Source organism: Homo sapiens, chromosome 4, assembly GCF_000001405.40.
Source record: "Homo sapiens chromosome 4, GRCh38.p14 Primary Assembly".
Taxonomy (NCBI): Eukaryota; Metazoa; Chordata; class Mammalia; order Primates; family Hominidae; genus Homo; species Homo sapiens.
The window spans coordinates 42,045,101-42,060,319 of NC_000004.12; the positions used below are offsets into that span (position 1 = coordinate 42,045,101).

Genomic DNA, 15,219 nt, shown 5'->3' on the forward strand with positions numbered 1-15,219 from the left:
AGAAAGTCGGAAAGATCTAAAATCGATACCCTAACATCACAATGAAAAGAACTAGAGAAACAAGAGTAAACAAATTCAAATGCTAGCAGAAGACAAGAAATAACTAAGATCAGAGCAGAACTGAAAGAGATAGAGACACCAAAAACCCTTCAAAAAACCAGTGAATCCAGGAGCTGGTTTTTTTAAAAGATTCACAAAATACATAGACCACTAGCCAGACTAATAAAAAAGAAAAGAGAGGAGAATCAAATAGACAACAATGAAAAATGATAAAGGGGATGTCACCACTGATCCCACAGAAATACAAAGTACCATCAGAGAATAATATAAACACCTCTACGCAAATAAACTAGAAGATCTAGAAGAAATGGATAAATTCCTGGACACACACACCCTCCCAAGACTAAACCAGGAAGAAGTTGAATTCCTGAGTAGACCAATAACAAGTTCTGAAATTGAGGCAGTAATTAATAGCCTATCAACTAAAAAAAAAAAAAAAAGCCCAGGACTAGACGGATTCACAGCCAAATTCTACCAGAGGTGCAAAGAGGAGCTGGTACCATTTCTTCTGAAACTATTCCAAACAATAGGAAAAGAAGGACTCCTCCTCAACTCGTTTTATGAGGCCAGCATCATCCTGATACCAAAACCTGGCAGAGACACACAAAAAAAAGAAAATTTCAGACCAAAATCCTTGATGAACATCGATGCAGAAATCCTCAATAAAATACTGGCAAAGCAAATCCAGCAGCATGTCAAAAAGCTTATCACCACCATCAAGTTGGTTTCATCCCTGGGATGCAAGGCTGGTTCAACATATGCATCAACATATGCAAAATAATAAATGTAATCCATTAAATAAACAGAACCAATACAAAAACCAAATGATTATCTCAGTAGTTGCAGAAAAGCCCTTCAATAAAATTCAACACCGCCTCATGCTAAAAACTCTCACCTTAAACTAGGTATTGGCAGAACGTATCTCAAAATAAAAAGAGCTATTTATGACAAACCCACAGCCAATATCATACTGAATGGGCAGTAGCTGGAAGCATTCCCTTTGAAAACCAGCACAAGACAAGGATGCTGTCTCTCACCACTCCTATTCAACATAGTATTGGAAGCTCTGGCCAGGGCAATCAGGCAAGAGAAAGAAATAAAGGGTATTCAAATAGGAAGAGAGGAAGTCAAGTTGTCTCTGTTTGCAGATGACATGATTGTATATTTAGAAAACCCCATAATCTCAGCCCAAAATCTCCTTAAGCTGATAAGCAACTTGAGCAAAGTCTCAGGATACAAAATCAATGTACAAAAATCACAAGCATTCTTACATACCAATAATAGACAAACAGCCAAATCATGAGTGAACTCCCATTCACAGTTGCTACAAAGAGAATAAAATACCTAGGAATACAACTTACAAGGGATGTGAAGGACCTCTTCAAGGAGAACTACAAACCACTGCTCAAGGAAATAAGAGAGGACACAAAGAAATGGAAAAACATTCCATGCTCGTGGATAGGAATAATCAATATCATGAAAATGGCCGTACTGCGCAAAGTAATTAATGGAATCAATGATATCCCCATCAAGCTACCATTGACTTTCTTCACAGAATTAGAAAAAAAACTTCTTTAAATTTCATATGGAACCAAAAAAGAGCCTGTATAGCCAAGATAATCCTAAGCAAAAAGAACAAAGCTGGAGGCATCATGCTGCCTGACTTCAAACTATACTACAAGGCTGCGGTAACCAAAACAGCATGGTACTGGTACCAAAACAGATATATAGACCAATGTAACAGAACTGAGGCCTTAGAAATAACACCAAACATCTACAACCATCTGATCTTTGACAAACCTGACAAAAGCAATGGGGAAAGGATTCCCGATTTAATAAATGGTGCTGGGAAAACTGGCAAGCCATATGCAGAAAACTGAAACTGGACCCTGTCTTTATACCTTATACAAAAATTAACTCAAGATGGATTAAAGACTTAAACGTAAGACCTAAAACCATAAAAACCCTAGAAGAAAACCTAGGCAATACCATTCAGGACATAGGCATGGGCAAAGACTTCATGACTTTCACACCAAAAGCAATGGGAACAAAAGCCAAAATTGACAAATGGGATCTAATTAAGCTAAAGAACTTCTGCACAGCAAAATAAACTATTATCCGAGTGAACAGGTAATCTATAGAATGGGAGAAAATTTTTGCAATCTATCCATCTGACAAAGGGCTAATATCCAGAATCTACAAGGAACTTAAACAAATTTACAAGAAAAACAAACAACTGCATCAAAAAGTGGGTGAAGGATATGAACAGACACTTCTCAAAAGAAGATATTTATGCAGCCAACAAACATATGGAAAAAAGCTCATCATCACTGGTCATTAGAGAAATGCAAATCGAAACCACAATGAGATTCTATCTCACGCCAGTTAGATTGGCGATCATTTAAAAGTCAGGAAACAGCAGATGCTGGAGAGGATGTGGAGAAATAGGAACACTTTTACACTGTTGGTGAGAGTGTAAATTAGTTCAACCATTGTGGAAGACAGTGTGGCGATTCCTCCAGGATCTAGAACCGGAAATACCATTTGATCCAGCAGTCCCATTACTGTGTATATATCCAATAGATTATAAATCATTCTACTATAAAGACACATGCACGTGTATGTTTTTTGTAGCACTATTCATATTAGCAGACTTGGAGCCAACCCAGATGCCCATCAATGATAGACTGGATAAAGAAAATGTGGCACATATACACCATGGGATAATATGCAGCCATAAAAAAGGATGAGTTCATGTCCTTTGCAGGGACATGGATGAAGCTGGAAACCATCATTCTCAGCAGACTAGCACAAGAACAGAAAATCAAACACCACATGTTCTCACTCATAAGTGAGAGCTGAACAATGAAAACACATGGACACAGAGAGGGGAATATCACACACTGGGGCCTATTGGGGGGTGGGTGGCTAGGGGAGGGATAGCATTAGGAGAAATACCTAATGTAGATGACGGGTTGATGGGTGCAGCAAACCACCATGGCACATGTATACCTATGTAACAAACCTGCACATTCTGCACATATATCCCAAAACTTAAATTATAAATTTAAAAAATAAATAAACATTGTTTAAAAAAAGAAGAAAATAGTGTCAGATGCTCCCAGGAGGTTAAGAGAAATGCTAAAATATTTCCAGGAATTTAGTAGTATGGAATGGTAGGTGGTATTGATAAGATGAAAACTGTGACAGACAGAATAAATATGATGTTTTTAAGAAGTTATCTGAGGTGGAGGAGATGGGAAAAGGGTAGCTAAAAGGGGACATACAGTTCTCTCATTTATAAAATGGGGGTGTTAATATTTGTATAACAGACTTGTAATATAACATGGTAACTCACTAGCATAACGTCTGAGATAAATCATATTAGTCATTACTGTTAGTATCTGAGCAGCTAGTTTCCTCAGAGTTAACTGTTTATTTTGGCATCTAGCTGCTTCTAGTATGACTCTGAGACTGCTTAGAGTCACCTCTGGCATCTGCCTCCTTAAGTAAACAGATTTTCACTGAAGTCTTGCCTTTGACACTGGCCCAATGGACAGTATCAGGTGCAGATCTGCTTTTATCTACCTAAAACACATAATTTTCTTTTACATTTTATCTTGTCCACATATAGAAGACCATCTTTTCTCACCAGTTTTCAAAATATACTTAAGTAATTTGCTTACACATAGCATGCCTCTTAACAGTACATAATCTATATTTTTTCAAATTTTTACTCTTGTTACCTAAACAAAGTTTTTTAAGGCTAGGGATTCTTTTAATTGTACTTGTTTTTTTTGTTATTGTTGTTGTTGTTTTAGCGATGGGGTCTCACTCTCTTGCCTAGGCTGGAGTGCAGTGGCACGATCATAGCTCACTTCGGCCTCAAACTCCTGGGCTCAGATGATCTTCCCACCTCAGCCTCTCAGTAGCTGGGACTAAAGGCGTGCACTACCACACCAGACTAAGTTTTTAAAAAATTTTTTGTAGAGATGGGGTCTTACTTTGTTGCCCAGACTGGTCTTGAACTCCTGTCCTCAAGCCATCCTCCCACCTCAGCCTCCCAAAATGTTGGCATTATAGGTGTGAGCCATTGTGCTTAGCCTAATTTTACTTTCAACAGAATCTAGTGTAGAGATATACAGCTGATTGAGTATGCTTTTGGCTTAAATTTTTGTCCAAACCTATGCTAAATTGTTTTCTCTTTCTCTTCTAGCAATGGATTAAACTGCTTCTTTAAATTTCTTGCCTGGATTTATACCGGTTCAGCAAGTATGTTCTCAGAAGCTATACACTCATTATCTGATACTTGTAATCAGGTGAGGACTAAAGCTTTTTTTATAAGTCAATTTTAAAGTAATAGTTGTAGGCTTTAATCTAAAAGTTGATCTATTTTAAAACTGAATGATTCCAGTAGTTGGCTTGTGGGATAAAATAAAAGTTTACTTTTCAGCAATGAAGTGCATAGAAATTTAATCATAGTATTTTAAAGCAGATTGTTATGCTTTAAGAACCTCTGACAATGGAATGTGAAGTATAACATTGTCAGTCACTGAGCAGAAATCTGGTCTCTGAATATGAATTCTCAATGACTGTAATAGTCAATGAATTTAAACTTTTGGAATAAAGATGTAAAATCATATGTAATTGGTTAAAATGCTTTCACATTAGATTCATAATTTGAATTACTTTCCTTGGCTTTGCAAATGGAGAAAAATTTTTGTATTAATACAATTAAAAGACCTTCTAAACCCCCTGTGGCCCAAATTGTGAAAACTAGAAACCCAAAACTTTTCTAAGAATATAATAAAAATTTCTGTGTGTGCATCCTATTACATTTTAAAGAGTGTGGTATATTAAGAGGATACCTTTTCAATATTTACTTATTTTTAGTCCTGTTATGTAAAAACTGATTTGGGAGAACTTCAATGAGAGACACAGGTAAAATAAGAATATTTAAGACAAGGATAAAAATAACGTGAAGATAAGGAGCAAGGAGAGCAATATTAATTAAAAATTAAGCCTGTGAACTTGTCTCACTCACTGTCAAATCAGATGGATTAAAACCCTTCATAAAAGTAAGGAAAGAAGACAAGCGTTTGCCATTAGTACTAAGTATTTACCTTGAACTTAATTTTTATACTCAATATATACTTAAATACTGTCTCTATAAAATTTTACCATTCAACTGTGGTATGCAGTGGGAGGAGAGGGGATAGGGAGAGATATATAACTTATAATCTCTATTTTCTTGTAAGCTTATCGAGGAAAGTTGAAATACAGAAATATTTGTCCATATGGCAAGGAGATATGTATGATGTTATTAGTTTCAATATTAGTTTTTATTTCAAACATTGAAGACAGTGTTTAAGTGTTCATTCTCTATGCTATTCAGGCATTTAAAAAGAATGTAGTAGATATCTGTGTACTGACCTGGAATGATAACCATGATAAATTGAGTAAAAAATCAAGTTGCAAAATACTATGTTCAGAACTTCTGCTTTCACCCATGACAGACTAACAGGGATTGAGTTTAATCTTTTGCCATAGACAACTAAAAGCTAGACAGTATATTGGATAATAGCAGCATAAGACCATGATCTCTGAGAGATAAGAAACAAATTATTTGAACTCTCTGATCTCTCTGGCTTTTTGCTTGAACACATATTTGGGATAGTGGAGCAGGATGGGAAATAACAGTCTCATTGAGTTGAGAAGACAGAAATCAGTGTTCAGGGTGTCTGAGGTGGCTAGAACTTACAAGGAAGAGTTCCACAGAGGAAGGAGCTACAAGGACAAAAAGCTATAGAAGTCTACATAGGGATTTCCTTGAATTGAATGTTTGCTGAATGTTAAGTTACACATGTGTAAGATGTGAGCATCAATCTGGGCAGAGAACCAGCAGGGAGCAGTAACTGACTAATTCCCACTGCTCACACAAAGCTAGGTTACATTCAGGTTCTGACTAGCTGACGTAAGAGAGTTCTCATTGATTATCGAGGCCAATGGAAGGCTCACCTTAGGAGTAGGGCTAAATTATTCTTAACGTAAAGGCTGTTCTAGAACCCTCCCTAACAAATCTTCCTAAAAGTTCTAAAGGATCAAGCTGATCTTCAAATAATTTAATCACTTGCCAGAACAAAGCCTCACATTCTTTAATAAAGGCAGCAAAATCCAAACACTCAGTATAACATTCACAGTGTTTAGCATCCAATAAAAAAGACTAATCGCCAGTATAAGAAGCAGGAAAATTTGACTCATAACCAGGAGAAAAATCAGTCGGAAGCAGACTAAACAGATGATAGAATTAGCAGACAAGGATATTAAACAGCTATTTCAAGTACAGTCATGTATTGAAAGGAAAATATGAACATAAGAAGATAAATCAAAGGTATAAAAAATAAACCAAATGAAACTTTTAGAGCTAAAAAAATATATCTGGTGTGAAAAATTCACTGTATAGAATTAACAGCACATTAGACACTGCAGGTAAAACAGTCAGTGAACCTGAATATGTAACAGCAGAAAATATTCTTACTAAAGCCACAGACAAAAAAGATTGAAAAAAATGGAGGAAGCCTTGGTAACCTATGGAACAATATCAAGAGTATTCTGTCAAGCATTTAGGGAAGAAACAATGCTGAGTACACAGACTTTCAGAAATAGAGAATGAAATGTTTTTCTACTGCTTTAATGAGGCTAGTATAACCCTGATGCCAAAATTTTACGAAGTCATTATGAGAGGGAAAAAACCCTACAGACCAGTTATTCCTCATGAACACAGATATAAAACTCCTTAAAATATAATCAGATTTTATTATATAAATATATAAATATGATATATATAAAAATGATATTATATCATAAGTGAGTAAGATTTCAGGAGTGTAAAGTTGGTTTAACATTCAAAATCAGTAAGTATAGAAGGTTAATATGAAGAAATTAATTGCATTTCTACTATCAGCAAATAAATGGGGAAGGAAATTTTAATAAATTCCATAAGTAGTATCACAAAATATTAAATACTTAGAGATAAATCTAGCAAAAGACATACAAGACCTTTACGCTGAAAATCATAAAATGTTGCTGAGAGAAATCAAAGAAGACCTAAAGAAATGGAGAGATACAATACCGCGTTCATAGATTGGATGTCATAGATCTGTCAAATCTCCCTAAATTGATTTACAGATATAATGGAGTTCCATTCATAATATGAACAGACTTCTCTGTACAATTGACAAACCGAATAAATTCCAAAATTCATACGGACATGCAAAGAACCTGGAATATTCAAAGCAATCTTGAAACAAGAAATTTGGAGAACTTCAAGACATTATAAACTTATATAGAAATTAGGACAGTGAGTTACTGGCATAAGGATTGACAAATCAATGGAACAAAATTGAGGATCCAACAACAGAGCCACATTTACATGGCCCGTGCCTTTCGGCAAAGGTATCAAAGCAATTGAGTGAGGAAATGAAACTTTTTAAAACAAATAATGTTGGAAAAATTGGATCCATATGGGGAGAAAAAGGACCTTGACTCCTACTTCACACACTGTATACAAGTTTGAAATGGATCATAGTCCAAATATAAAAGTTAAAACTATGAAGATTCTAGAAGAAAACCTAGGAGAATATCTTTTAGACCTGGTAGGCAAAGATTTCATAAATAGGACACAGAAACAATATCATAAAATAAGATTTACAAATTCAACTTCATCAAAATTAAAAACTTTTGCTCATTGAAAGACATCCTTAAGGAAATAAATACGCATAGATTGGGAGAAAATAGTCACAAAGCATTCTGACAAGGGACTGGTATCCAGGATTAAGAAATTCCACGATTCAGTAATAAAATGAGAACCAGTTTTTTCCCCCCAAGGATAAAGATTTGGGCAGGTACTTCACAAATAAGGAAACATGAATGGTGGCCAGTGGACACCTGAAAATGTGCTAACACCGTTAATGATCAGGAAATGTATATTAATACCACAAGACATCTCTGCATATCCACTATAATGGCTACAAGTAAAAACCTGACAGCCAAATGTTGGTGAAGATGTGGAGCAGCCAGATCTCCCAGTCATTGCTGGTGTATTACTAAAATGGTACAACCACTCTGGAAAATATTTGGCAGCCTCCTATAAACATATACTTATCCTGTGACCCACCAATTCCACTTCTAAGTATTTACCCAAGGGAAGTGGGAATGAATGGTCCCAAAAGATTTGTATAAGAATGTTGGCTGGGCGCGGTGGCTCACGTCTGTAATCCGAGCACTTTGGGAGGCCAAGGCAGGCAGATCATCTGAGGTCAGGAATTCGAGACCAGCCTGGCCAAGATGGTGAAATTCCATCTCTGCTAAAAGTACAAAATAGCTGGGCATGGTGATGGGCCCATGTAATCCCAGCTACTCGGGAGGCTAAGGCAGGAGAATCGCTTGAACCCGGGAGGCGGGGGTTACAGTGAGCCAAGATCCGAGATTGCACCACTGCACTCCAGCCTGGATGACAAGAGTGACTCGGTCTCCAAAAAAAAAAAAAAAAAAAAAAAAAAAAAGGAATGTTATAGCAGCTTTACTTATAATGGCTGAAAAAATTGGAATCAACCCAAATGTTTATCAGCAGTACAGCAGATAAACAAATTGTGGTATACTCATACAATGGAATATTATCTGGCAATAAAAGGGAATGAAGTACTTTTCTGACTGGCAACATAGATGTATCTCCAGCAAGGAACTTTAATTTTTAATAGTTTAAAAAAATTGGGAAAAATGGTTGCGTCTGATGTCGGGGAGGAAAGAGGCACAGGGAGCTTTTTGGGAATGATGGAAAGGTTCTGTGTCTTCATAGGAATATATGTTTCAAGGGTATGTGTATTTGTTAACAACCAGAACTGTACATTCTGGGCCAGGTACGGTGGCTCATGCCTGTAATTCCAGCACATTGGGAGGCCGAGGTGGGCGGATCACTGGAGGTCAGGAGTTCGAGGCCAGCCTGGCCAATACGGTGAAACCCGCATCTCTACTAAAAATACAAAAACATTAGCTGAGCGTGGTGGTACATGCCTGTAATCCCAGCTACTCAGGAGATGGAGACAGGAGAATCACTTGAACCCGGGAGGCAGAGGTTGCAGTGAGTCAAGATGGCACCACTGTACTCCAGCCTGGGCGACAGAACTAGACATCTCAAAACAAAAACAAAAACAAAACTGTACATTCAGGATTTGTGCATTTCATTGTATGTGAATTTTACCTCAAAAAAATTCTCCCTATGTGGAAATGTGATTACTTAGTAGATATTTGATAATAGTAAGGAATTAGTATTGATTTTTTTTTTTTTTTGAGACAGAGTCTCGCTCTGTCACCCAGGCTGGAGTGCAATGGCATGATCTCAGCTCACTGCAAGCTCCGCCTCCCAGGTTCACACCATTCTCCTGCCTCAGCCTCCCGAGTAGCTGGGACTACAGGTGCCTGCCATCACGCCCAGCTAATTTTTTGTATTTTTAGTAGAGACGGGGTTTCACCGTGTTAGCCAGGATGGTTTCGATATGGTCTTGATCTCCTGACCTTGTGATCCACCTGCCTCGGCCTCCCAAAGTGCTGGGATTACAGACATGAGCCACCGCACCCGGCCAGGAATTAGTATCGATTTTTAAAAGTCTGATAATAGTCTTGTGGCTGTATTTTCTAAAAAGCCTAGTTTTTAAAGAGATTCATCCAAAATATTTAAAGATGAAATGGTACGATGCTTGGAATTTACTTCAAAATATTCATGAGGGAGTAGATATGGATGAAATAAAACATATTTGGTTACATATTTATAATTGTTAAAGCTTAATGATGGATGATTTGAGTTTTTAAAAATGTTCTATCAGGGCCGGGCATGGTGGCTCATGCCTGTAATCCCAGCACTTTGGGAGGCCGAAGCAGGCAGATCACCTGAGGTCAGGAGTTCAAGACCAGCCTGACCAACATGGCAAAACCCCGTCTCTTAGAGTTTTCAAAAAGACTTCAGTTAAAAATATTTCAACTGGACCTTTCTGAATAGATGGAAATTGTATTTCAGAAAGTTGTTTCTTTCGAGACCTATAATATTTTTAAAATTTTAATTCATTGTAATATTTTTATGCCATATGTTTTCCCTCACTTCTTGAGAGACTTAAGTACCTCCAACTTTTAAATTAGACCTGTGTCTCTAATTATAATGTAGTTTTTTATTTATTTATTACTTATTTTTTGAGACAGAGTCTCGCTGTCTTGCCCAGGCTGGAATGCAGTGGCACAATCTCGGCTTACTGCAAGCTCCATCTCCCAGGTTCACGCCATTCTCCTGCCTCAGCTTCCCGAATAGCTGGGACTACAGGCGCCCGCCACCACGCCCGGCTAGTTTTTTGTATTTGCAGTACAGACAGGGTTTCACCATGTTAGCCTTACAATTTCTGTTACAGTTCATGTTGGAAAACTTTTCTGTTAAATATTGCACATCGTATCATTTAATATCAACTGAGATGAATTTATTGAGCACCTGAGTTTGCAATGTAGCAAGTGTTTAGAAGAAGACATGGTTCTTTCTCTGTCTTCTTTAAACAGGTTATATGCGGTTATATGCACATAAAACAACTAGAAAGATCTTCTAAGGTACCATTTATGCAGGTGCTGGATAGTATGATACTTAAGGAACACCAGAAACGTGAAGGGTGATCATGGAGTAGAGAGCATTTACAGTACTTCTTAGCCACTAGATGTTAATGTTCGTTATGCTGCAAACTAAACAAATGCTCTGTAGGTTATATATACGTACTGATAGAGATTTATGTTGTAAATGTGTAGAAAAAGGTCTGGAAGGATACATATCAAATATAACTGTGATTCTGTCTTACCTCTGAGGAGAGCTGGTTGGGGTGGTCTCATTTTTGTTAGAACTAATAAATATGGTCCATATTCATTTTATAAAATAGTTGACGGTATCTCACACTTCATTGCACAGCCAACTGAATATTAAGGATTTTTAAATAGTTGAATGTTTATTGAATATTTTAAAAATAATATAAATACATATATATGTATACATATATACACATAATGTGAATAATGACTGTCACTTTTAATGTACAGGTGTGTATTATTCCATTTTCACACTGCTGATAAAAACATACCCAAGACTGGGCAATTTACAAAAAAAAGAGGTTTAATTGTGACTAGGGCAGGCTCACAATCATGGTGGAAGGTGAAAGGCATGTCTCACATGGCAGCAGACAAGAGAAGAGGGCTTGTGCAGGGAAACTCCCCTTTTTAAAACCATCAGATCTTGTGAGACTTATTCACTATCACGAGAACAGCCGAGGAAAGACTTGCCTCCATGATTCAGTTACCTCCCACTAGGTCCCTCCCACAACATGTGGGAATTCAAGATGAGATTTGGGTGGGGACACAGCCAAACCATATCTTCCCGCCCCAGCCCCTCCCGAATCTCATGTCCTCACATTTCAAAACCAGTCATGCCTTCCCAACAGTCCCCCAAAGTCTTAACTCATTTCAGCATTAACTCAAAAGTCCATCCAAGGTGTCATCTAAGACAAGGCAAGTCCCTTCTGCCTATGAACCTGTAAAATCAAAAGCAGGTTAGTTATTTCCTGGATACAATGAGGGTACAGGCATTGGGTAAATACAGACATTGGGTAAATACCATGTCTCCATTTGGCGACATTGGGTAAATGTCTCCAAAAGGGAGACATTGGCCAAAACAAAGGGGCTACAGGCCCCATGCAAGTCCAGAATCCAGCGGGGCAGTCAATTCGTAAAGCTCCAAAATGATCTCCTTTCGCTCCATGTCTCACCTCCAGGTCACGCTGATGCAAAAGGTGGGCTCCCACAGCCATGGGCAACTCCACCTCTTTAGCTCTGCAGGATATAGCCCACTTTTGGCTGCTTTCAGGGGCTGGCATTGAGTGTCTGTGGCTTTTCCAGGTGCACTGTGCAAGCTGTCAGTGGATCTATCATTCTGGGATATGGAGGGCAATGGCCGCCCTCTGCTCACAGCTCCACTAGGTGGTGTCCCAGTAGGTTTTCTGTGTGGGGGCTCCCACCCCACATTTCCCTTAAGCACTGCCCTAGCAGAGGTTGTCCATGAGAGCCCCGCCTGTGCAGCAAACTTCTACCTGGGCATCCAGGTGTTTCCCATACATCCTCTGAAATCTAGGCAGAGATTTCCAAACCTCAGTTCTTGACTTCTGTGCACCCACAGGCCCAACACCACGTGGAAGCTGCCAAGGCTTGGGGCTTCCACCTACTGAAGCAATAGCTGGAGCTGTACCTTGGCCCCTTTTAATCACAGCTGGAGCAGCTGGGATGCAAGGCACTAAGCTCCCAGACTGCACACAGCAGAGGGACCCTAGGCCCAGCCCACAAAACCACTTTTCTTCCTAAACCTCCAGGCCTGTGATTCAAGGGGCTGCCACAAAGGTCTTTGACATGCCCTAGAGACATTTTCCCCCTTTTCTTGGTGATTAACATTCAGTTCCTCATTACTTATGCAAATTTCTGCAGCTGGCTTGAATTTCTCCTCAGAAAATGGAATTTTCTTTTCTATTGCATTGTAAGGCTGCAAATTTTTGAAACTTTTATGCTCTGTTTCCCTTTTAAAACTGAATGCCGGGGCTGGGCACAGTGGCTCATGCCTGTAATCCCAGCACTTTGGGAGGCTGAGGCGGGCGGATCACGAGGTGAAGAAATCGAGACCATCCTGGCCAACATGGTGAAACCCCATCTCTACTAAAAATACAAAAATTAGCTGGGTGTGGTGGCACTTGCCTGTAGTCCCAGCTACTCGGGAGGCTGAGGCAGGATAATCGCTTGAACCTGGGAAGCAGAGGTTACAGTAAGCCAAGATCGTGCCACTGCATTCCAGCCTGGCGACAGAGTGAGACTTTGTCTCAAAAAAAAAAAAAAAAAAAAACTGAATTCCTTTAATAGCACCCAAATCACCTCTTGAATGCTTTGCTGCTTAGAAATTTCTCCAGCCAGACACTCTAAATCATCTCTCTCAAGTTCAAAGTTCACAAATCTCTAGGGCAGGGGCAAAATGCTACCAGTCTCTTTGCTTAAAACATAACAAGAGTCACCTTTGCCCCAGTTTCCAACAAGTTCCTCATTTCCATCTGAGACCACCTCAGCCTGGACTTTATTGTCCGTATTGCTGTCAGCATTTTGGGCAAAGCCATTCAACAAGTCTCTAGGAAATTCCAAACTTTCTCACATTTTCCTATCTTTTTCTGAGCCCTCCAAACTGTTCCAACCCCTGCCTGTTACCCAGTTCCAAAGTTGCTTCCACATTTTCGGGTATCTAGAGCAGCACCCCACTCTACTGGTACCAATTTACTGTATTATTCTGTTTTCATGCTGCTGATAAAGACATGCCCAAGACTGGGCAATTTACAGAAAAAGGAGGTTTAATGGACTTACAATTTCACATGGCTAGGGAAGCCTCACAATCATGGCAGAAGGTGAAAGGCACGTCTCACATGGTGGCAACACAAGAGAAGAGAGCTTGTGCGGGGAAACTCCCCTTTTTAAAACAATCAGATCTCATAAGACGTATTCACTAGCACAAGAACAGCATGGGAAAGACCTGCCCTGATTATTCAGTTACCTCCCACCAGATCCCACAACACTTGGGAATTCAAAATGAGATTTGGGTGGGGACACAGTCAAACCATATCAGGGTGTAAAAGAGTTATATCTTCCTTTGAATTTCCTGTCATTCTCTTAGTTTAATTCCCTGAAAAATCATGTATATTTTAGGTGGTTTGCTCCCTTTTCCCATGGAATCCAGTGGTAAAAGCTTATAATATTCTGTGTATTTAGGGTAGGGTTTCCAATATTAAGACCTAAAAATATATTTGTATTAAGTATTTTCAAGTTTCTTTAATCTCTATTTTTTATTAGAAAAAATGTGTCTATTAAATTTCTTGTAACCTAAGGGAAACCTCATCTGTGAAGAAGTCATTATCTAGAAACTTCACTTATCTGATTATTTGATATGATGCTGGAAAAAGGAAAAGCCTCAGATTAATCAACTAAAATTACATAGGGAATTCACTCAGAGGCTTTATATTTTTATCAAATAGTTCTAATAAGGTAGTCTTATGATGTGATTTCTAGATTCACATCAAATTAGGATGGAAAGGACTTACTAGGGACAAGCATACTACTATTGAGAAGTTCCAGTGGATAACTCTTTAACAAAGGGCAAAACTTTAAAAACCACCTAAGTGGAAATGAAAGAAAGAAGGAAGAAATGATGAAGGCAAGTGAGACAGAGGAGAGGCAGTCAGAAAGGAAGGAAAGAAAAGAATATGATATATAATTCCTGTGCATGGTTTTGCAGTTTTAATAGAAATGTGTGTGCCCATACACAATATATATATATTGTTTAAAGTTGTTATTATCTTTTACTTGTAAAGCTATACAAGTTATTCTTCCTGTAAAAAGTCAAATATTAGACTACCTTAATTCTGCCTCTCTTCAGAGATACAAACATAGTTACTTGCATGTTCTTTTAAACCTTTTCTGTGCTTTACATTATATGTAGTTTATAAAACTACAAAGCATAAGTTCTGTACTGTACATACTGTTCCTAACTTGCTTTTTTCTCTTCTTCCACTTAATGGTATGTCTAGGAGCTTTATCCATGTCAGTATAGAAAGCTCTACTCTAACCCTATTTTTTTAACCTACTGTAGAAGTAATTTATGGTTTATCATTTATTTTGTCATTCCCAATTGATGGATTTTTTTTAGGTTGCTTTCATGTTTCTCATCTTTATAAACAATGGTGTTTTGAACCCCTTTGAGTTCATCTTTATTTTTTAAGGTAAGTACTAGAAACCAGAATTGCTGGGTCATTGGACATGCATATGTTGAGTGTTTCTTTGTCATTGTTAGCCTGCACCCTCCACATTGGCTTTACCATATTATACTCTCCATCTTGCTAATGATTATTCACCTTTTTTTCTTCTTCTTCATAGGGTTTACTAGCATTGGGCATCAGTAAGTCTGTTCAAACACCAGATCCTTCTCATCCGTAAGGACATTGCCTTATTTTGTTTTTGTTTGTTTTGGCGATAAGTCATTGAAATAACTAAATATCAGAAATC

The 15,219-nt window shown here is 38.1% G+C and overlaps 1 protein-coding gene across 2 annotated transcripts in view; it reads left to right on the forward strand.

Moving 5' to 3' along the window:
• Window positions 1-15,219, forward strand: part of SLC30A9 (solute carrier family 30 member 9) — a 99,932-nt gene that overhangs the window by 54,571 nt on the left and 30,142 nt on the right. For both annotated transcript variants that reach the window (NM_006345.4, XM_047449525.1), the window contains exons 9-10: window positions 4,277-4,379; window positions 15,091-15,146. In NM_006345.4, the coding sequence (NP_006336.3) occupies window positions 4,277-4,379; window positions 15,091-15,146 (159 nt within the window). The remainder of the gene's footprint in view (window positions 1-4,276; window positions 4,380-15,090; window positions 15,147-15,219) is intronic.